This window comes from Homo sapiens, chromosome 6 (assembly GCF_000001405.40).
Source record: "Homo sapiens chromosome 6, GRCh38.p14 Primary Assembly".
NCBI classification, from domain to species: domain Eukaryota; kingdom Metazoa; phylum Chordata; class Mammalia; order Primates; family Hominidae; genus Homo; species Homo sapiens.
This window is the reverse complement of record NC_000006.12, coordinates 55,254,781-55,278,939: the sequence shown is the minus strand read 5'-3', so window position 1 is coordinate 55,278,939 and position 24,159 is coordinate 55,254,781. Positions and strand designations below refer to the sequence as shown.

Sequence of the window (24,159 nt, the reverse complement as noted above, 5' to 3'; positions counted from 1 at the left end):
CCAGAGAGAGGTAAATCCAATTTTCATTGAATTTAGACTGACTAAAAGAGAAAAAAGATTAGAAAGAGAAAGAAAGAATAAAACCCATCCAGTAACATAACATGTTTATAAAGTTCTTAAAAGCAGAAGAGAGTATCTAGCAGGTGGCCATAATAAATTTGTATTAAATTTCTGTTAGCAAAAATAATAATAATAATAATAATAATAATAATTAATAAGAAGCAAAGCACAAAAAGATATGGAGGGCAAAATAATTTCTATTTTCTTGTGAGCTGGCATATGTCTCAAGGACCCAGGCCACAAAAAAAATCATATATCTTTAAGGCTGTGACTGTAGTAAATAGTATCACTGAACAGAAGTTTGTTCTCCATTTCTTCTCCATTGAAAAAGCCGTTAAACCATCAAAAACAGGGGCCAAAGAGAATGAGAACCCTTTGCGGCTGATTATACCACTTCTTCTGACTCCAGCCAAAGCTGCTGTTCTTCAGAGTTCCCAGCTGTGAGGAATATAATATTGATTCTGAATCAGGCCAAAGTGAGAGGAGCAATTCTAGCTTAAGTTCGAAGCCTGTTGTAAACAAGAATTGGTATTGCCTTGGGACCAGTCTATGTGGAACAGTTTCGATAATTCCCAATAAAGTTGGCTGGCCATGAAGTTTAGTGTGTACCACTGCCTCTGCATCTGCTGCTCATGTCATGGGTCAAAATTTTTAACTTAATAGTTGTGCCTGCATTGTAGCAAATAGCATACTTTCCCTCATTGATTTTTATTACTATCTGCCCTGAGCTTCATTCAGTGACTTCAGGAAATGAATTCTTCTGTTTAGACATTCGACATACATATCTGCCTTGATGGCTTTTTTTAAAAAGTGCTCGCCAATGCACTTTTAAGTATAATTAGAATACTAACATAAGGTTCTTATCTCTTTTTATCCTTAAGATATAATTCTCTCACAATTGCCTATGTTTTTGGAAACGAAGTTTTGAAAAACCCGTTTGTTCTCATCAAGAAAGAACTGCAAGCTGTAAATGAGTTGTTACGCATTAGAACTTTGTCTGCATCTAAGGTTTAGCAACTAGCTTGAAGAGATTGGAGAAACATCTGTTTTATGTCTGCCATGCAACTGAGAATACGCATGACAAAAGCACATGTCTGAGCACTCTTAAAGGCTGTTCGCCTTACCTGCTGGTAACAACATAACTGAGTCATCTGGCCTGACAAGGTATCTAAGCAGAAAGTTTAGATTTTTCTCTGGCTTAGTTAAAAAAAAAAAAAAAGTTAATTAAGAATCAAGAAAAGGCAGGCTATTTCATTTTCAAATAACAGATAAGTTTTACCTCTTTAGCACATTGAGGATGCTAATTGGTAGATAGCAAATTGCAAATACCAAAAGCACAATCATCAACATCCGGGCTGTTTTCCTTCTGGCTCGGATCTGCTTTATTTCAGCCGCCACAGCGCTCATCCGGGACTTCGTTGGCTGTCCTGGCCCTCGAGGCTGTGAAACAGGCTGCAGGGGCTTCCATTTTCTCTGAACTACAGATGATGTTCCAGGGATCTGAAAGGAGAAGAGACAGACCCTTATTGCAATTTGACTTAGGAAAGTTCCACTTTGGGGAAGTAATTAGAAAACACAGTAAGGAAAGGCTTCCAGACGCCTGAGGTGTGGGAGGTTTGAGCGCCTGTTTCTCCAGAGCATTTGCTGACCTTAGTATGTGCTTGGCGTTAATTCAGACGAATACCAAATAGGAGTTTGTGTGGAAAAAAAAGTTAAAACATCAAAATTTTGTCAATGTCTAAAGAAAGCTGCAAGTGGAAAAGATATTTCCTTGTAAAAAGAACAAAGCTTGGGAAAGGAGAATGATAAAGGGATGTCAGCCATATTATCTTATTAGGAATTTTTGTTCAGCTCAGATACCAAAGTTTAAAGCAGAGGAAAACCCAGCAAGTAACGTCAAGCAACCTGTTATGGATTTTTCACGCATCAATACTGCCATCTGCTGCCAGAGAGATAGAACTTAACTACCTGTAGCTTTTCAGGTTTTCTGCTTCTCGAGTTCGGACAAAGCAAACCTTTGAATGAAAGGATATTTTTAAAAAATCAAGTATTTTTTGTTGTTCACTATTTGTAGTTATGAAATTGTTTGAAATCAGTTTTGTGGTCCAGCCCTTTAAAATGCACACAAACCCATTGAGGATTTTTTGCGGTCTTACATTAATATTTCAAATAGCTGGAATTTGTAACAGTAATTACACAACTTGTACTTTTCCATTTCTTTTCAAAGTTATTTGATAATAGCAGGGAATCCCTCCAAGTACAATATTCTCTTAATTGTAAGCTCATGAAGATTGATAGGGTTTAGTGAACAGAACAATAAAATTCAGCATGCATAATTTTTTAAAGAGGAAAATGTGCCAACAAACACAAGAAAAGGCCACCTTAGCTCTGTTAAGATTATTCAGCTTTTACTTTCTGTCTCTGTGCGGCAAACCAGTACTGACCAATGTGTCCTTGTGGTTTCTCAGAATAGATGTTCGATAGATTTTGTTGCTTTTTACACCACCAGATCAAAGTCTGTTCGATAATCTTTAATTTGAGAACAGAATTTTACTTATATGTCCACACAGATAAATTAATATGACATTTCCTTTGACCATTTTCTTTCTTGAAGAGGCAAATGATGTTAACAAAGACCTGCCCTTGAATGGAAAATATCGGATAAATTATTTTTCTTCTCACTCTGTATGTCTTGTCATGTAGACAATCTTTTTTACATAGTAGTGGTTCAACTCAATCTTTTAACCCACTGGTTGGGGAGAGATAGGAACTTTCTCTTCTGTGACTCTCATTTTAAAAAGCAATTTTAAAAAATAACTGAAAAGAATGAGCAATGGATGCTGGAATGTTCCAGGAGACTCCTATCATGAAAAGCCTGTATGTGTCTGCTAAATGATCTTGAACTGTCTTCTAAATGATCTCTGATAGATCAATTAAATTTTAGTGATTCTATCACTGACTGTTCCCCTGAAGGAGAGAATCTACATTCTGCATCTGATGACTTCTGCCGCCATTAGAAACAGTTTTCGGTCACCTGAGGTTGGGAGTTCATGACCAGCCTGACCAACATGAAGAAACCCCGCCTCTACTAAAAATACAAAATTAGCTGGGCGTGGTGGCACATGCCTGTAATCCCAGCTACTCAGGAGGCTGAGGCAGGAGAATCGCTTGAACCCAGGAGGTGGATGTTGCAATGAGCCGATGAGATCACACAATTACACTCCAGCCTGGGCAACAAGAGCAAAACTCCATCTCAAAAAAAAAAAAAAAATACAGTTTTCATAAAGAGAAAGCTATGGTCCCTGAAATCGGGAAAAAAAAAATGTAGTGATGCCCTTTTTAGATAATGATCTAAATAAGGATAGAAGATGCTGAATCCTGCATTCATTTTGAGGACACATAAATTTCTCCATTGATAAGCTGTCTAGAGACATGGAGAATTCAGAGAAACTCCGTATAAAATTAAGAGGAATAACTGACATTACTGAGCTCCAGGAACTATGCACTAGTAATCCTTAATGCATCCCTAAAAGTACATTATTGTAAATCTCAGAGGTTTCAATCAAGCAGGCACTGAGAAGGATTAAGTAAAATACATGCACCCCACTTTTATTTCACTATTATGAATAAACTTTATAAATCATATTTAATGCAAAAATACACCCTGAAAAATGTATTACCACAGTTATGAATTGGAAATAGCATGTACATGATGGACCTTAAAACCTACTCTGTCTTAAAAAATGTTTGTGACCAGGATAAAGTTATGAGGAAGAGGCAAACATGCTACAAACATTAAAAACATTATGAATAAACAATGAATTTGCCAACTTACATGAAATGGACAAAGCCCTTGAAAGACAAAGATGACCAAAACTGACTCTGTACTTACAAACTATGCTACAAGAAAATCTCCAGGCCCAGATAGGTCCATTAATGAATTCAATCAAACAGTAAAGAATAAATAATTCCAATCTTGTTCAGACTTTTAATGAAATGTACAGAAAATATAATATGTTCCAACAAATTTCATGAGGTCACATTTATCTTTGTAATCAAAGATATGGCAACAAAAGACAGCTAACAACTAAATATCCTTCATGAATAGAGATAAAAATCTCTTTAAAAATATGTTATCAAATTAAATCCTGCAATATATAAATAGGATAATACCATTTGCTCAATCAGATTTATTCTAGCAATGCAGTGTTGGCTTACCACTCAAAAAATCAAGTCTTCTCTCACCACTCGTACTCAACATTGTACTGGACTTTGAGCCAATACAAGAAGAAAAGAAAAATAAATAAAATGCCTACAGATTGGTTCTATTGAGAAGAAATTATTGCTTACAAAGATCATCCTAAAGAATCTACCAAAAACCCACTAGAACTTATAAAAGAATTTAGCAAGGAGCAGGTCATTAAATCAATAAACAAAAAAATCAATTATACTTCTACATACTAGCAATAAATGGAAAATTAAATTTTAAAAGTTTCAATATCAAAAGAATGTGTTTTAGGCATACATTTCATAAAATATATATATAAGTATATATATTTCATAAAATATATATATAAGTATATATATTTCATAAAATATATGTATAAGTATATATATTTCATTATATATATATATATATACTGAAAATGATGAAACATTGCAGAGAGATAATAAAGAACTCCTAAATAAATATATTCATTGTGGACATGCATTAAAAGGCTTAGTATTGTTAATATGGCAATTCTCCCCAAATTGATCTATAGAGTTAATGCAATTAATCACGTTCAATACCACGACAGTCTTTTTTCTGGAAATGAAAGTACTAATTTTAATTTTTTATGAAAGTGCAAAAGACCTGGAATAGCCAAAGCAATTTAAAAAAAGAATTTATTCTTTTTTAAACTTTGGTTGCAAGACTTATAAAAACTCATTTCAAGATTTATAATAAAGGTACATTGAGTGTTTAAGTGTATTTGTGATTGTGTGTATCCCAGAGGACTAGTCTGATGTGTATATATATTTGATACTCACCTCACTTAAAAAGTACCTGGGCAAGGGACTACCTGAAAAAAAGCATGGAGCTGTGAAGAGACCTAGCAAAGTGGCATTTACTGGTCAGGGAAGGAAAGGTAAGTATTCAAAGCAAAAAGTATTCAAATCAAAGTAGGAAGAAAGTATATGAGCAATGAAACCACAAACAACATTGCTTAATGCTGCCAAAAGATCAATAAATAAACTTTAAAAATATATATTCTTTAGAAATCATTGGTAACTTTCATGTAAGCTGTTTCACTGTAATGATGAAAGCTGAAGCTACACTGAAGTGGGCTGAGACATCAGTGGAGGTGGCGGTTAGTGAGAAAAAGATGACAAATGGAAATAAGTCGAGAATTTTATCTGGGAGGAGGAGGAACAAAAAGTTAAGTTTGTGGCTGGATGAGTCTGAGAGTTTGGATGATGCTTATTTTTTAATGCATAGCAAATGCCTGCTCCATTTGCTAAGTGCTAAGAAACTTGTAGGACAAGTCTCCTTTCCCCTTATGGTATTCCTTAACCTATTACCCATTTCATCATAATAGAGTATAACAGATATTTGGTAGGCACTGGCGGTCTTCTATGAAACAATAATCCCCTTACATTTCCCTGTTCAGCAGGGACCATGAAAATTTTCCTTGCCCCTTACACCCACCACCATATGAAGATGACTGTATTCCAACACTGAGGGAGTTTTTCACATTAAATCCCATGATTTCTTGACACTTTTTGTTTACCTCAGTACTGCTCTGATAAGATTTGCATGCTAAATTCTTATAACGAGGACTGTAATTTTATTTGTTCCTTTTCTTAACATCATTCTCACTATGAATAGCTCCACTTTCAGAGTGTACAGATGGCCCTTATGGATGACAACTGCAATAACTGATCTTCTCACTATGCCTCCTGCCCCTGTCCAACTCCAGATCTGTTGTCTCGCAACATTATTCTTTCACACAGTCTATGACTTCTTCTTTGCAAAAAAAAAAAAAAAAAAAGGTTTTCCCTCTGCTCTCTGGGACTTGATATATGGTTTCATGGAATAGGTTCTCTCATTTTTTGCACATCTATGGACCATTTTAAAGTCTATAGAAGTACGGAAAAAAACTTTAGTCAGAAAGTACAGATAAAACAACCCGTGGATAATTCCTATTATAGTCTCTCATTACATTAACATGTCAAATTGTGTGTTCAACCTTTTTTGCTTCCCTGTGGTTTCAGCAGCAGAACTTTCTAAAAAAAAAAAAAGTCTTCAATTTTTAAAATTTTAAAATATCCCATCATTTTTGTTCTTTCTTTTTAAAAGAAAACATTTTATTGCGATATAATTCACATACCATAAACCTCACTGCTTTAAGGGGTTCAAAAAATGATTTTTAGAATATTCACAGAGTTGTGCAACTATCACATCATCACTAACTAATCTAGAACATTTTCATCACCTCCAAATGAGGCTCCAAATCCATTAGCAGTCACTTCTCATTGTCCCATTCTGCCAGCCCGTGCCAAGGACAAATTATTTTGGCTCTATATATTTGCCTATTCTCAACATTTTCATGCAAATAGAATTATGTAATATGTGGCCTTCTGTGCCTGGCTTCTTTCACTTAGTATGTTTTCAAGATTCATCAATCTTGTGGCATATATCAGTGCTTCATTTCTTTTAGTAGCTGAATAATATTTTATTGCTTGCATATAGAACAATGAGTTATTCCATTTACTCATTGATAACATTTGGGTTGTTTCCACTTTTTGGCTACTATGAATTATATGCTGTTATGAACATTCATGTGTAAGTTTTTGTGTAAACATGTCTTCAGTTCTCTGGGTCTATAACTAGAGATTGAATTAGTGGGTAATGTGGTAATTCTCTAAGATTTTAAGGAACTACCAAACTGTTTTCCAAAGCAGTTACATCGTTTTGCATTCCCACCAACAATGTAGAAGGATTCCAATTACTCCACATCCTTACCAATAATGATTACAGCCTTTTAAAACAAATCTATCCTGTTGAGTGTGAATAGGTTTCTCATGATTTTGATTAATATTTCTCTAATGAGTAATGATGTTAAGCACCTTCTTATGTGCTTATTGACCATTTGTATATCTTCTTTGCAGAATTGTTTATTCAAGTCTTTGCCTACTTGTAATTTTTTTAAATTATTAATTCATAAGAGTTCTTTGTATATTCTGGATACAAATTCCTTAACACATATATGATTTGCAAATATTTTCTGCATTTATATGGGCTGACTTTTAACGTTTTTAATGGTGCAGTTTGAAGCACAAAAGTTTTTGTTTTGATAATGTCTAATGTATCTACATTGTCATTTGTTGCTTTTGGTTTTGGTGTCATATTTAGAACCTATTGGTTAAGCCAAGGTCATGATGATTTTCTTCTGTGTTTTCTTCTAAGAGATTAGCTCTTACATATAAATCTATGATTCATTTTGAGTTAAGTTTTGAATGTGGTGTGAGGTGAGGTTCAACTCCATCCTTTTGCTTGTGGATATACAATTGTCTTAACACCATTTGTTGTCAGGACTATGATTTTTGCCATTGAACTGTGTTAAAACCTTTATCAATACTCAATTAATCATAAATATGAGTTTATTTCTGGACCATGAATTCTATTCCACTGATCTATATGACTAACTGTATGGAAGTACCACACCGTCTTAGTTACTGTGGCTTTTTGTTAAGATTTGACATTAGGAAGTAAGTTTTCCATTTCTTTTTCAAGATTATTTTGGCTCTTCTCTATCCCTTGCATTTCCACATTAATATTAGGATCAGTTTGTCAATTTGTGTCCAAAATACAAAGCCATCTGGGATTTTCATAGGAATTGTATTGAATTCATGGATTAATTTGAAGATTATTTCTATTTTAACAAGATTGAATCTTCCAATCCATAAACACAGAATATCTTTTAATTTAGGTAGTCCTTCTTTAAGTTTTTTCAATGATATTTTGTAATTGTAGGTGTATATGTTGTGTACCGATTGAATATCCCTTATCTGAAATTCTTGAGACCAAAAGTGTTTCAGATGTGAGTTTTTTTGGATTTTGGATTATTTTCATATACATAAAAAGATATCTTGTAGATGTGACTTAAGTCTAAACCCAAAACTTACTTACATTTTATAAACACCCAATACAAATAGTCTTTAAACAAATTTATATAACATTTTTAATAATTTTGGGCATGAAACAAAGTTTTTGTTGACTTTTGACACGACCTGTCACATGAGATAGCAGGGGACTTTTCCACTTCTGGCATCATGTTAGCTCTCAAAAGTTTGGGATTTTAGAGCAGCTAGAATTTTAGGTTTTGGGATTAGAGATGCTTAACCTGTACTACATGTGATTCAAGGACTGTGTTGGTAACCTTTCTGAGACTGAATATAATGATGGAGAACAAAATGTTACAGAAATGGACTATATGTTGCTTGAATGGAAATAGTTCCAAACTGACTCAAGAAACTTGTATAACTGTGGCCTACTCATTGAAGTTGCTAATAATTATGATTGTAAATGATATTCATGTATAGGACTTGAAAATGTTGAAGGAACATTATCTATTTAATTGATTTGATTAACAGACTATTTATTTTTAATAATCCAGAGCTATTTCCTTTTCATTATTTTTGTTGCCTATATAGAGACTAGTACCACATCATTTAATAAATGCATCTTTTTAAATACAAAAATAGGGTAATTTTCTCCCTGGATCTTTGGTGGTTATGTTAGAATCCTCAGCAATACAGTGAATTCATAATTCTCTTTTTAGGGAATTATAACTGCTGCATGGAATCCATGTCTCTATAATTTCTGGACATTCCCTAAATATACATGTTTATGCTGAAGAATTTTTTTTGTTTTGACAAGAGTCTAACTCTGCCACACAGGCTGGAGTGCAGTGGTGCAGTCTTAGCTCACTGCAGCCTCCACCTCTGAGGCTCAAATGATTCTCATGCCTCAGCTTCCTGAGTAGCTGGGATTATAGTCTTGCACTGCACCACCATGCCTGGCTCATTTTTGTGTTTTTAGTAGAAACATGGTTTCACCACGTTGACTATGCTGGTCTTGATCTCCTGGCCTCATGTGATCCTCCCGCCTCAGTCTCCCAAAAGTGTTGAGATTACAGGCATAAGCAATCAAGCCTGGATGAAGTCTCTTATTAAGCTTCTTTTATTAAATCTACTTCTAGGTATTTGATTAATTTTGATGCTATTTAAATTATTTTTTGTTAATTTCATTTTAAATTTTTATTTGCTAATGTATAAAAATGAAATTGATTTTTGTATATATATTAATCTTTCATCCTGAAAACTAGCTGAACTCATTTATTTGTTCTAATGTATTTTTTTGCAAAATAATTCGTTAGGATTTTCTATATAAAATATCACATAACCTACAAGTAGAAATAGTTTACCTCTTATTTTGTGATCGTCATGCCTTTTATTTTTTATTATTGTTAATATTATCTCTTGCCTGTTTGCCCTGAAAAGAATCAGTTCTGTTCAACATTGAATGAAAATGGTTGTAGCAGACATACTTGTCTTGTTTCTGACTTTAGTCAGAAAACCTGGAAAATGTTTTATGTGCAAATGGGATAAATATGCATTCTTCTGTTTTTGGTGGAGTGTTCTAAAATATCTGTTAAGCCCAGTGGTTTCATAGTTTGTTTAAATCTTTTATTTCCTTGTTGCTATTCTGCCTGTTTTTTCTTTATTTCTTTTTTTTTTTTTTTTTTTGAGACGGAGTCTTGCTGTTGCCCAGGCTGGAGTGCAGTGGCACGATCTCTGTTCACTGCAGGCTCCACCCCCCGGGTTCACGCCATTCTCCTGCCTCAGCCTCCTGAGCAGCTAGGACTACAGGTGCCCCCCACCTCACCCGGCTAATTTTTTGTATCTTTAGTAGAGACGAGGTTTCACCATGTTAGCTAGGATGGTCTCAATCTTCTGACCTCGTGATCCACCCGCCTCAGCCTCCCAAAGTGCTGGGATTACAGGGGTGAGCCACCGCACCCTGCCTGTGTTTTCTATCCATTACTACAAGTGAGTATTAACATTTTCAACTATAATTGTCTAGCTGCCTACTTGTCTCCTTAATTCTACTACTTTTTGCTTGGTATATTTTGGGTTTCAGTGGCTAAATGCATGTATGTTTACAACTTTTATATCTTCCTGATGGATCAACTCCATCATCATTATGAAATGTCCCTCTCTATGTATAGTAATATTTTGTTAAAATTTATTTTGTCTAATTTTAGTATAACCACATTAACTCCCTTTTTGTGATTATTTTAGTACTACTTCTGTTATTTTACATTTAACCTATTTGTATATCTGAATACAAGGTATGTCTCTTGTAGACAGCATAAAGTTGGATCATGGGTTTTTTTAAATTATTGGTTGGTTTTTATCTATTATGTCAATCTATGCCCTTTGATTGAAGTATTGTATCCATTTACATTTAATCTAATTATTAAGAAAATATAATATATATCTGCCATTTTACTATTTGTGACTTATATATATTGTATCTCTTGTCTTCCTCTATTTCCTCACTACTGCTTTATTTTGTGTTAAATATTTTCTGTATACTATTTTAATTCTTTTGTTACTTTACCTATATTTCTACATTCTTCAAAAAATTATTTTCTTAGTGGTTACACCAGGAATTAAAATTAGCAACTTAATCTAAACAAGCTGCTTAGATTATGCCAATGTAATTTCAATAGTATAAAACAAATTTGCTCCAATACAGCTCCATTTCCTCCTCCTTTTTTGAACTACATCTGTATACATTATAAGGTGAATCTTCACAATTTTATAGCTATTATTTTATGCAGTTGTTCTTTACATCAGATAACAGAAGATAAATATGTTTATTCTGTCTACAGTATTTACCTATGTAGTTACCTTTACTGGTGCTCCTTATTTTTTTTTGTATGGACTCGAGTTACTGCCTTCCTGATTCTGCCCCTGCAATTGTAATTTGTTTGCTGCCTATTTTCTCACACTAGACTGATTTGTCATCATCAAATATTATTTATCTTAAGTTCCCTTAGAAGAGTGCTGAATAAAGAGCAGCAGAAAACTTTGTGATAAGAGCTGGGAACAAGAAGGTCTTTCAAAGGCCCTGAAAAGCTGAACTATAGTTTCAGACCCAAATATCTATTACAGTCCATCCTCAGTACCTCACACCATAGCTGACACAGAGTACGTGCTTAATAAATGTGAAATAAATTAACACAAGCACATGACGATTAAGATTTAGTGTTGAATTATATGAAGGGTCTGAACTAGAAAAAATGCTGACAGATAAATGAAAGAGTCAAGCAAGCTAAGTTCTTTAAAAAAATAAGTTTTAGCAAATAATCTGTAGAATTTCCTGAGTACTCTGAGTCGAATTGCCAAAAAAAAAAAAAAAAACAGAGAGAGAGAGAATTTAAGTAGTTCACAGCAATGCATTAGCTAATTCTTTTAATGAGGCTTAAACTTCTTGAGAAAGTCAGACAAGGACACACAATTTGCTCACTAATAATCTTACACTTACTAATTCAAAAGTACATAACAGATTTCATGCATCTCTGTAATTTTAAGCAAATAGGACAAGCTCTTCATTTGATGGCTCACTTGATGTAGCCTATGGCACGCATAATGCCTTACAACTTTGTTTATAGACACTAACAGTTGGAAATTGAGAGTTGCTCAAGCAGAATTCTATGTAATCACGCATTTGGGGTTAATTCACTTTATTGTGGCTGCTAAAGTGAGTTCAGCTGAACTTGGTATTTTCCATTCCAATCTGTTTTGTAAATGACTTTAGTTTCACAGCCCAAGCATTTTACTGCAAATCTTCTGAATCATGTGGCTTGTACTAATGAGGATAATTCATGAAAAGAATGTGGATTATTTATGAATCTGTGATGCAATTTATTTTAAAATTTATTTTAGAGTTTGGGAAATGTCAAACTATATGCTTAAATGGTGGAAAATTAAAATGTTTGGATTTTGGTGTCACTCATTCATTTAACAAACTTTTTAAAACATTTTCTCTGATGGTACCATGTAAACTTTAGGGTAACCATGGTATCATGGTAAAGTTTTACCATGTAAAAGTAACAAGACAGATACATTGCAACCTTGAAAGAGTTTTAAAGGTATGTCAATTTGTAAATAAATGAATAAGAAATTATAAGCATACCTTTTATACAATGCACACTAACTAGTAAAAATAAGGAAATAGGGGATAATCTTAACACTGAACATTCCCCAACAAAATCTGAATCTAAATCTAAAATATCTTTATTCCTACATGCTCATTAATTGCTTTTTCCCCTTCAAGAAATTTTTCAGATTCTAATCCATTTCTACAAATGTTTATCGGAGTAACTGGGCAATAGATTCTCTATGTCCTCTCTAAACTTTCCCAGCACTTTCTCCTATTCTACTCACTTTGTTCTTATGAAAAAAGCAACTGATGTGTGCTGAGCATGTGCTATTTATAGGGATACAAAGATGACAGCGAGACTATCTTTATCTTAGTAGAGTAGAAGAACCAGACAAATAAGAAGCACCATACTGGTATTTCAATGTGCATTTTTTAAAAAATAGTCACATATACCAATTCAACACATGCTTGCTATTTAAATGTAAGTACAATTAGTTGAGAGGCCATTATTAAACAACATCCATTAAGATATTTTGTTTAATGAGCACTGTCTATATTTAGGCACTTGAGTTAATTCATCTAAGCAAGCTTGTCCAACCCACCTTATTTTGTTGTTGTAGTTTTGTTTTGTTTTGTTTTAGGCTTTTAGCAGCCTGAAGCCCTGGTTTTTAGTTTCTGTCTCTAGTAATAAGCAGAAAAGAGGGATAGGAAGGGGTTTTACTGGCCCAAATAGAAATAGAAACTGAGAACCCACGACGGTGTTCTCTCCCTTGGACACACCTGAATGCATGTACCAAACCTATGAGGAAGATGCTATACAACCCCATTTTAAAGTTAATAAAGGGAGTCACAAAAATTTAAGCCATTTACAAAATTCATGTCACTACTACTTGGTGGAGTCAGGATTTAAATTCATGCAGTCTGGCCCTTGTGTTTTTGACTTCTGTATAGTGTATCATTCCAGATCATTCATCCCCAGCTTGTAGGAAGCTCCCCATTACCCTGTGATGTGTGATGTCTTTCTGTCAGAGAAGAATGTGTCCCCTCTTCATGATCAAGTTTAACCACGTGACTTGTTTTAGCCAATGAAAAGTGAGATGTAACACATGCCGGTTCATAAAAGACATTAAAAGAAAATATACTTTTCTTCCAGTTTTCTTTTTCTCTCAGTCTCAGAATGCCATGTCCCAGAAAGTGCCATTTCTTCAGACTAGGTTCTGGAATGAGAAAACAAATGGAGCACAGTGCCCCAGCCAGCCCTCCCCACTGACCTGTAATAGGAGTGAAACAGAACTGTTGTTGCAAACCACATTTTTTAATAGAAGAATAATAACCTAGCAAAACCTGACAGATACAATAATAGGTACTAGGAAGCAGGATGCTGCAGTAACAAACACCCTAAAATATAAGCATTGGCTTCATAGGGAGGTGGAGAGTGCTGAGAAAACTGTCACCAACATCTAGAAAATCACCACTCATATTTTATAGTGGTCCACATTAGTTTTTATAGTAAAAAATGATGGGAAACAAAATGTTAATAAATGTTGCTACTGGTTTCACTTGTAAGGTCATAAAAGAAATGACTTCTTTGTAATAGCAGAGGAAAAGAGAAAATATTGAAATTATGAGCCATATAGTGTTAAAAAAAATGAGTGTTGCTCATATCCAGTCAGTGAAAGATGATCTTGAAAAATGCTTTGAATAACAAGTGTTGATTAAAAAAACAAAGACACATCCTCAAAGACCAAATAAAGTGTTTGTGAAATCTTTTTAATGAATTAAGGTGACTCCAGTAAATCTTTTCAGTTGGATAAAATGTGTCAGAGAAAACAGACTAATGGCATGTCCTTCCACAAGCCTGATAAAGTAAGTATCGGCAGTAAGTTTAGAGAACGAGAGAAATACATCTCTAAGAATTGTGGCATTTTAAGATACATTTTACAAAATGGGAGAGACTGAGCCATATCCTTTTTGTCTCTATCTTACAAACCACTAAATGTGTTTGTTGGTAATATCCTTCAAATCATCAAGGTTTAAGTTAAATGTTACCTTTCCTGTATTAGATATGGTTTTAGTACATTTTGCTCTGATTCTCTGTGCTTATATTTAAAGTAATTTTCGCCCTGCATCTGATGATGCCCCTCCTCTAGACTATGAATTCCTCAATGGCAAAAAGTAGAATTTTTAGCTTTTGTGTGAGACATGTATGTGAAAAGTTCATGATATGTATTTCAGGAATGAATAACTGAGTGAATGAATACAAACATTCACTGATACAGCAGAATTATCTAACAAAGTGTAGTAACCCCAAATCAGCATTATATACAGTTTTTAAAATTATACATTCTGCCTGATTCTTATAATATTCTAAAAAATAAGATCTTTGAAGTTGGAGATTTAACCTATATGTTCCAATGTTTTAAATAAATCTGATTACAAATATAACCTTTCAGACTTAGAGTCTCAAAAATCTCTAAAGGAATTTTTATTTGCTATTTCTCATAGAAAGCGAAATTAGTGTTATTCCTAGACAAAAGACAATTAATCACAGATGTTAAATTTTATTTAAAATGTAAAGTACTTAATCAGTTTATAAAATACATTTCCTGAATATTACTCTAAAAATGCCTAGACATATTTCTATGTCTGGGTTCTCATTACTTTAAAAGAACACACAATATAATACTTTTATGAACATGTTATATTGGTTCAATGCATTCTTAAATTTTGTTTATAAGTGCATCCTAAAAAAAAAGCACAGACAAAATATTTGGAAGGAATAACAAATAACAAATTATGTGTGGAGGAATAATGCACGCAAAATATTTGAAACTATATACCTGTCGACACCAGAGTTTGCGAAATATTTGCAGATAAGCCAACACCATGAGACACAGTGGTGCCATGTATGTCACCAGAAAGAAACAGATGTGGTACATCTTGGGATAAATTTCACCTAGGATGAAAGTCAAAACAACAAAACCTTACGTTACAATTGATGGACTTTTAAAAAAGATACATGTCAATGCTTTTCTTCAAAGTGCATATTTACCTTTTATATGATTTCATTGTCATATTATGTATGCAAAGGGGAAAAATAATTCATAATATTTAACAACTTATTTTACTCAGTATATGGGTATACACATGCCAAATGTGAAGTCGTAATTTCACTTAATGTACTCAGAAAAATAAGCATTAGCTATTTCTTAATTTGTGCTACCCAAAGTCAAGTGTTCAGTTATTAAAAGGCCCTTTATTTGACTTGATTACATCTGGCTAATTAACAAAATTAATTTGGGTTGTTCTAAACTTTTATTTACAAAAAGGGACATGAATCAATGAAAACCTAAAAACTAATGCTTTGGTTAAAATGGGAAGAAAATATAAACTCAGTTGGTTGTTCCTTATTAGAATGTAAGTTCCCTGAGAAATGGGAGGCTATTCTCAGTTGTATCTCCAAATACAAATGTGAAAAAAATTTTGAAAACTAAATACAATACAAATTTGACAATGATTATTTTTGTTGACTTATTGGAACATATACAAAATTCCTCTTTAAGCATAGTATGTCTGTGGTGTGTGTATGCTTTTATTAAAAATACATGTATATACTTTTAATAAAAATGAGAATTTTAAGGCTTTATAACATTTATTTTCTCCAATCCAATATGAATATTTTCTCACTTATTAAGCATAAACACCTCTAGGACTGTAGTAATTTTTTATTTATAATTAATCCTATGTACACAAATGATACACATCACAGATTAGACACTTACGAATAAGTCGATTAATCACTTCATGGCATTGTGGTTTAATATTTTAGCTTTTCTAAATTATATTGATTACTAACTTTGTAAATGCTCTAGAAGATATATATATATATATATATATTCCCTACCTAATACATATATATATATTCCCTACCTTATATATGTACATAAATACATAAATAAATTCAGATTCCCTACATAATATATATTTTATATATTATATAATATATAATCATTATATATTTATAAATTTATATATTGTATATTAATATTAGATATATTCATATATTAATATAGTACATATTTTATTTATATATAAATATATAATATATAATAAGTTATATTATATTATATATATTATATATAATATATAAGTTATATTATAATATATAATAATAAGTTATATATTATATATTTAGATATAATATAAATAATATATATTAATAGATATTTATATGTAATATTATATATAACATATAATACATTATATATTTATATATAATATTATATATAACTATAATACATTATATATTTATATATAATATTATATATAACATATAATATATATTTATATATTATGTCGGGAATCTGAATTTTTGTATGTATGTATTTTTTTAATTTTTTATTCCGATAGGTTTTGGGGAAACAGTTGGTGTTTGGTTACATGAATCTTCAGTGGTGATTTCTGAGATTTTGGTGCATCTATCACCCATGCAGTGTACACTTTACCCAATCTGTGGTCTTTTATCCTTCACCCCCTCTCCCTCACTTTCCCCTGAGTACCTGAAGTCCATTTTATCATTCTTATGCCTTTGCATCCTCCCACTTATGAGTGAGAACATATGTTGTTTGGTTTTCCATTCCTGAATTACTTCACTTAGAATAATGGTCTCCAAATCCCTCCAGGTTGCTGGGAATGCCATTATTTCGTTCCTTTTTATGGCTAAGTAGTATTCTATGCTATATACATACCACATATTTTTATTCCCTCATTGATTGATGGGCATTTGGGCTGGTTCTATATTTTTCCATTTGCGAATTGTGCTGCTGTAAACATGCATGTGCAGGTATCTTTTTAGTATAATGGCTTATTTTCCTCTGGGTAGCTACCAGAGTAGGGAGATTGATGGATCAAATAGTAGATCTACTTTTAGTTCTTTAAGGAATCTCCACACTGTTTTCCATAGTTGTCGTACTAGCTTACATTCCCACCAGCAGTGTAAAAGTGTTCCCTCTCCACCACATTCATTCCAATGTCCTTAATTTTTTGGCTTTTTGATTATGGCCATCCTTGTAAGAGTAAGGTGGTATTGGCCAGACACCAATTACAGGCTCACGTCTGTAATCCCAGTACTTTGGGAGACCAAGGCAGGAGTATCGTTTGAACTTGGGAGGTGGAGGTCGCAGAGAGCTGAGATCATGCCACTGCACTCCAGCCTGGGCGACAGTGCGAGGCTCCATCAAAAAATAAAATAAAAAATAAAAAAAAAAGTGGTATTGCATTGTGGTTTTGATTTGCATTTCCCTGATTCTTAGTGATACTGAACATTTTTTCATATGCTTGTTGGCTATTTGTATACCTTCTTTTGAGAATTGTCTATTCATGTTCTTAGCCAACTTTTGATAAGATTGTTTGCATTTTTTCTTCCTGATTTGTTTGAGTTCCCTGTAGATTTTAGAAGATATTTTTGTACTTGTATTCGAATATATCACAATGGTCTACCTACTTTTACTGCAATGTAAAAGAGGAAGCAATATATCTTGCATAGATTCCATAGATATTAAATGTAATTAACTCATTATAATTCTAATTGAATGCTAACACAACAGAGCTGTTTTGTTTTTCTTCTAAAATTTACATACTTTGTTTTGACTTTTCTATTGACAAGGGGGTTTATCCCATAGTATTGTTGAGGAATAATGCTATTACCTCTATGTATTTTATTCTTTTCATTACTTCATAAAGGGGATGTAGAAGCATGAAAGCTTGGTTATGTGATCAGATTTGTGATAAGAGCAGTTTACAGTCAGGATTAATCAATAATAAGCATGATGATTGTCATAATAATAGATAATATTTATTGAGCAATCATGCATTTGATTCTTGCTGGATATATTTTAACATATTTATGAGTTTAATATCCTCCACAATCTTATTTCCATAGGCTGTCTTTCAGATGCAGTTGAGTTTGAGTCTAATTTTCTCCATATTCATGCTTCTAAACCCATCTTCTCTTTTGGTTTAGATGTCTTTATCCGCTGCAGTCTTCAGCAGGGTCAGTAGGATGCATGTGTTGGCAGGTCTAAGAGACCAATTTGAGGTGTCATTTTTAGCTACTCTCTGGCCCAGGTAGCACTCACCTACCTCATCAGTTTCCAACTTTCTTTCAAGTTGATCCTGTAAAGCAGGCCAGTTACATAAAAAGTGATAACATTCAAGCATTCTGACTTGAGAAATAACAGTCTTTCCCTTTGAAGTGCCACAGCCTACACAGCATATGGCGGGCCAATTTCAAAGGAATCTGAAAGTGATCTCAGCACTTCCCAGGCACCTAAGAGGCTTTGAACTTTTATTTGTTTTGAAGAGGTGTCACATGAGCTTTCCTCATGACAAAATCTATATAACTTTGAAGCTTACATACCTGCGAAGCCCTGTTGTCTGCATAAGACCAATTGAGTGGATAGAGGAAAGTAGATTTGAGAGGTAAATTTTTTCCACTGCAGCTATGGATAGCATCACTGTGATAACAGTTTGGCGTTTTGAATAGATGGTAGCAAAAGCTCCTATGTGGTTGGTATATTTATGAATAATTAGAAAAAATATGTAATTGACTGCTAAATGCAAATTATTATAATGAACACTGATATGGAAAAAAGATCAAGCAAAATTATCCTTCCAGGGTAGGATAGATTGTTTGAATAAGGAGATTATAATAGATAACTAGGGAAACATGATAGTCTAAGCTGATTAAAAACTCAGATATGCCATTGAAATTTTAAATTATGTGTGATGAAAATATCTTTGAAGTCTTTCTGTACTTCATAAGCAATGTCTTCAATGTATTTAAGACATTTGTATATAACCTAGAATATAACTACACAAAATTTGTTTCACATAAGCATTACTTTAATTTAAAAAAGTTTTAAATATTGATAATCATTAAAAATTACTGTTTTTACTCAACTGATGAATAAGCACAATCTAAATAAATTTTATATATATATATATGAAACTAACTAATAAGGAACAAATGTGGATCTTTAGTCTTTGAAATCAGAGATTAAAGAGTTATATTGTATATTTGACAGGCAAAACTTAATTTCTCTCAGATGACTTAAGGTTCATTATTCAGCCAGCATGTTATCTTAATTATCTAGAAACTAGAAACATTCCTCTTTCATGGTACACTTATCAGGAATTGAATGAACAAGTAAATTAAATATAATTTCCCAATATTCAACATGGAATGTCTTTTCAAAGTTTAGGGGTTCATTAAGTTTACCTGAATCTTTAATATGTTTTACTATCTTCTCCCTAATAAATATGTTTAATAAATCTTCCCATTAATAGACTTATACACATATTTATATGCTTTCAAACCTCATAATAGGCCAGATGCCATAATTACTTTGACTGTAAAAATGGTTCCATTTTTTTTTTTTTAGCCTACCAAAGAACAATTTGTCAGTAATATTCAAAAAGAGAGATGCTACTAATCTCCAGTGTCCAGAACAATTGACCAAGGGTACATGCTAATTAAACACTGGATGAATGAATAGTGAAGAAAATATAACTTTGATTGAGTGTACAAAAAGAGTTATTTTCTCTCTTTTTGAAGATGGTGTCTTGCTCTTTTGCCCAGGCTGGAGTGCAGTGCCATGATCTCGGCTCACTGCAACCTCCGCCTTTCGGTTTCAAGCGATTGTCCTGCCTCAGCTTCCCGAGTAGCTGGAATTACAGGCGCCCACCACCATGCCCAGCTAATTTTTGTGTTTTCAGTAGAGACGGGGTTTCACCATGTTGGCCAGGCTGGTCTCCAACTCCTGACCTCATGATCCGCCCATCTCGGCCTCCCAAAGTGCTGGGATTACAGGCTTGAGCCACCACACCCAGCAAAGAATTTCTTTCTGTAGGATCTTTCCTGTAGAACTATGCATTTACAAACCAAGCAAGCAAGAAATTGTGGGTTAATTTAATAATTTTAGAAGTATGAAATGATGTGACTGAAGCAAACAGTGAACACATACAAATGTATATTTTAAAGGTTATTAAAATAAGTATTTACATTATTTATATGTTCTTGAGTGTTGTGTGTGTCTGCCAGAAATCATGGCTTATGGTTCTTTTTATGAAGAAGTAATAGGCAATAATGAATATAATTAGTTTTAGAAATCATTTATCCATATATAATTACATATTGCTGGTAAATTTTTTAGTTAGACAGAGTTCTCAGTTATTTTGCACCATGAGTAAAACAGCATTTACAGAACTTTTCCAAAAGTTATTTGATAGATATGTATCAACTGACCAAATTGCTTTTCCAAATTTTTTTCCACTGCCACATTGGTTGTAGGATAATTATGATTCTACTCTCTACTTTTATAACTACATTATTGATTTAACTTAGAATAAAGATAAGAAACACAGATTATGAATTAATCTCAAATAGAAGATATTTTACAATAGTTTTAAAAATCAGGCTAAATGACAGTTGGCCTTTAAAAATATTTGAATTTAGAGAGATGACACTGTAAAATATACTTTCCTATGGTTTTTTAAAAAGTTGTGACAATCACACATATACAAAGGTTTAACATTATAAGTCGAACATGGACTTATAAATAGTTTACATGAACAATGATTTTACATGCTATGTAGAAATCATCATAATAAATATCTAATAAGAAAGATAAAAATCTGCCTTGAATTATTTTTTCTTAAAAATATTCTTAGCAATTTCATTTAATATTTAAATGACTGTATAGCTTTTACTAAGTTGGATTTTGTAGCTAATCAATTCAGTCCAATAATACTTAATTTTAGTCTTTACAAGCATTTAATTATAGGCTATTATAAAATCACCTTCAAATAGTTTTCTTAAATGACTTCTGAAGGCTAAGTTTAGGTTTTTACATATTCAACAATTGTTTCCTTTTTTTAATGAAAATGTCCATGCTAGAGTTATGTAATAAAATATCAGAGTAGAAATGAGCTTTATGTATTTATATTTACCACTCAGAGGTAATTTAAAAATCATACGTCTATTTACATAATCATAATAACTGAACAGGAATCCATGACTTTGCAATCTTTTTGTTAATGGAGGTTACTGTTACTTGATTATTCAGGGAAACATTAAAAAAAGAAAAGCTTATAAAAGCAACCCATAAACATATAAGTGAAACTAATTGCCGGAATATTAGAGAAAATACTGCTGACACATATTGAAAAATATTTTTATATTTTATCTAATAGCAATCCCTATAAAACTTAAGGAATCCCAACTTACAAGTTGGAAGCTTTAGATTTAAATGTACCTATTTGCTTCATAATCTTGAAAAAATAATATAATCTTTCTAGGGTTAAATTTAGTCTCGAGTTTAATACAGGATTCTGAGAAAGACCTTTTTAGGCTTTCTAAATATAAACCAGTGTAAAAGGATCGTATAAGAGACATGTCACAGTCAGTCCCCAACCCATCTTGTTTCAAAATTCAATTATTTACACTATCTGCCCCTATGTTCCAGAAACTACAAGTGCTGATTCACTCTTTCTGCTTTGTAATGTAGTATCCATGATGTGGATTTTCTTGCTTTCTGGACATCCTTTTCCCTCTTCTCAGTCTGGAGAATTTTTGCTTATCTTTAATGTTCTGCTGGAATGTTAGCAGTTCCTCTGTAAACTTTTGTTCAAATGGCCAGAACTGAGTTTGTTCTCTCATTTGTGTTCTCAGCATTTTGTATATAAATATATTAAAATACTGATTACCCTATAAAAATTTGTTTATTGGCCTTTGAGCCTTATTATATAGAGTGTGCTCCCGTAAGCAGAGTCTGTTTCTCTCCAGGTGGGCACAATGCCTGACATATACTAAGTTCTCAAGGTGGTGTTTGAGCATTAAATGAATGGGACATAAGACACTTCATAAATATTCCTACCATTTTGGAAATTTCCATTGATTTTTTTTTTGTCTGCACTATTAATTTGGAAAATTGGAAAAAACTGAAAATGATACAGAGAAAAATACAGCAAAAAAAAGTTGGAATGTTAAAAAGGAAAAGTAAATCCCAATAAAAGACAGATATTTGATATTTGGGGTAATAGATAAAGCAAATTATAAAATTTTAGTTATTATAGGTCTTGCAACAATATATGAAATAATCCCAGCCTCTCTTAAATATTATCTTGCTGTAGATATATCCTGTAGTATATGCCTAATATATCAGTGATTGGCTTTTTTTCCTTTCGGTGTTCTAGTACAAACACCAAGGTAGGAAATAACAGAAATTCAAAGATTACAATATTTAAGAATATTATCCTTAATCAGTCCCTGGTGTGCACTGCTTGTTTTGATACATCTTTCTAATAAAAAACAATGTTAACATATGAATTCTCTAAATATCAGCCATTTTAGTATACTTACCTAGAAGAGGTCAGATTGGTTTTTTTTTAAATATATATTTCATATGATATATTGGAATCAGTGCATGCTATGCTGAAATGCAGGGTTATTTTATTTTCTGTCATTCTTTCCTGTGCCCAGATTTGTGCTAGCACCAGGTGTTGATAGCAGTATTCTCACTGTTACACAAAAACCTCAGACTGACTCTAAGAATTTCTAACCAAAGAAACATAAAGCCTTCAAACCTGATTGCTTAAATTTCACATCATACTTGTCAGATGGGAAACCAGATTGATTCATAATTAATATAATTCTTAAACTGGATAATAATTATGCGAGTAGCAATAATGTATTATGAATAGAGAAAACAAATTTGGATTATTTGACTTAGAGAACCACATGCTGACTCTGGCCATGTTCCCAGGACCATGTGATCCAGGACATGGTCTTAAAATGAAAAAATTCAGTTGTATTTGAAGCCCATTAGGGACCCTGACACTAGACAACACAGTGTTGAACCATCTTATAAATCGTGGATCATTCCAGAATACATAATCGGATTTGTATTCCATATTGCTTTTTGTTTAAAGAGTTTAAGAAAAACTAAAATAATCAAATCTGAATTGTAGAATAATCTCCTTTCATTTCCTATCCAAAAGATATGAAAATGAGAAAATAATAGATAACATTTCCAAAGGATTCAGATAGGTAGAGTTATTCTGTGAAATTGTTTTGAAATTCAAGTTGGTTTTCATGCTCTTGCAAAACTGTATTCACAAATGTCAATAAAATATATAAGCCCAGCTTTACAATGGCTATGCTAATCCAATTTTCAATTTGCTGCTGTAATATAAATGTCAGTTGATGGGCCATAAGGTACTTACCACCCCAGCGCTCATCACACACCGTAAAGAGGGTGGTTTTATTGGCTAAGCCTGGGAACACGGTGCTGCACTCCATGACGATGGCCTGAGGAATCATTATAATGCAGGAGACAATCCAGATGATGACAATGCTGTTACGGGCCCGCTTTGCTGTGCTCTTAAACATCAAAGGGTGACAGATTGCATACCACCGATCCAAGGCGATACAGCTCAGTGTGAGGACAGACACAGACACCGACACGGTCTAGAGAAAAGAAAGATCATAGTAATAGAGAAGCACCAGCTGTTAAAAGAATTACTCTTAATATATTTACTATATGAGAAAGGTAGTCACAACATATAAGCAAATTCAAAGCTGCCAAAAATAAACAATCCATGCAAGTGCTTTCTATTTAAAAAGAAATTATATCACAAAAATGAAATATTAGAAATATACTTTTAAATGTAAATTTATTGTTAAACATGAAAAGGTATGATGAAAACTTTGCAATCTTTTTTTACTCCAAATGTCTTAATTTATAATATGGCATTCTTTAAATAATTACTGTAATTATTTTGTCCTGTAATTTTTCCATTGATTGGAAGAAATCATACCCTCA

General features: G+C 32.8%; 1 protein-coding gene across 3 annotated transcripts in view; it reads right to left on the bottom strand.

Annotated features, from left to right (window-relative positions):
• HCRTR2 (hypocretin receptor 2) overlaps positions 1 to 24,159 on the bottom strand; it is a 178,245-nt gene that overhangs the window by 5,774 nt on the left and 148,312 nt on the right. For all 3 annotated transcript variants that reach the window (XM_017010798.2, NM_001526.5, NM_001384272.1), the window contains 3 exons: positions 23,561 to 23,804; positions 15,118 to 15,233; positions 1,340 to 1,560 (listed from right to left, as the gene is read on the bottom strand). In XM_017010798.2, the coding sequence (XP_016866287.1) occupies positions 1,340 to 1,560; positions 15,118 to 15,233; positions 23,561 to 23,804 (581 nt within the window). The remainder of the gene's footprint in view (positions 1 to 1,339; positions 1,561 to 15,117; positions 15,234 to 23,560; positions 23,805 to 24,159) is intronic.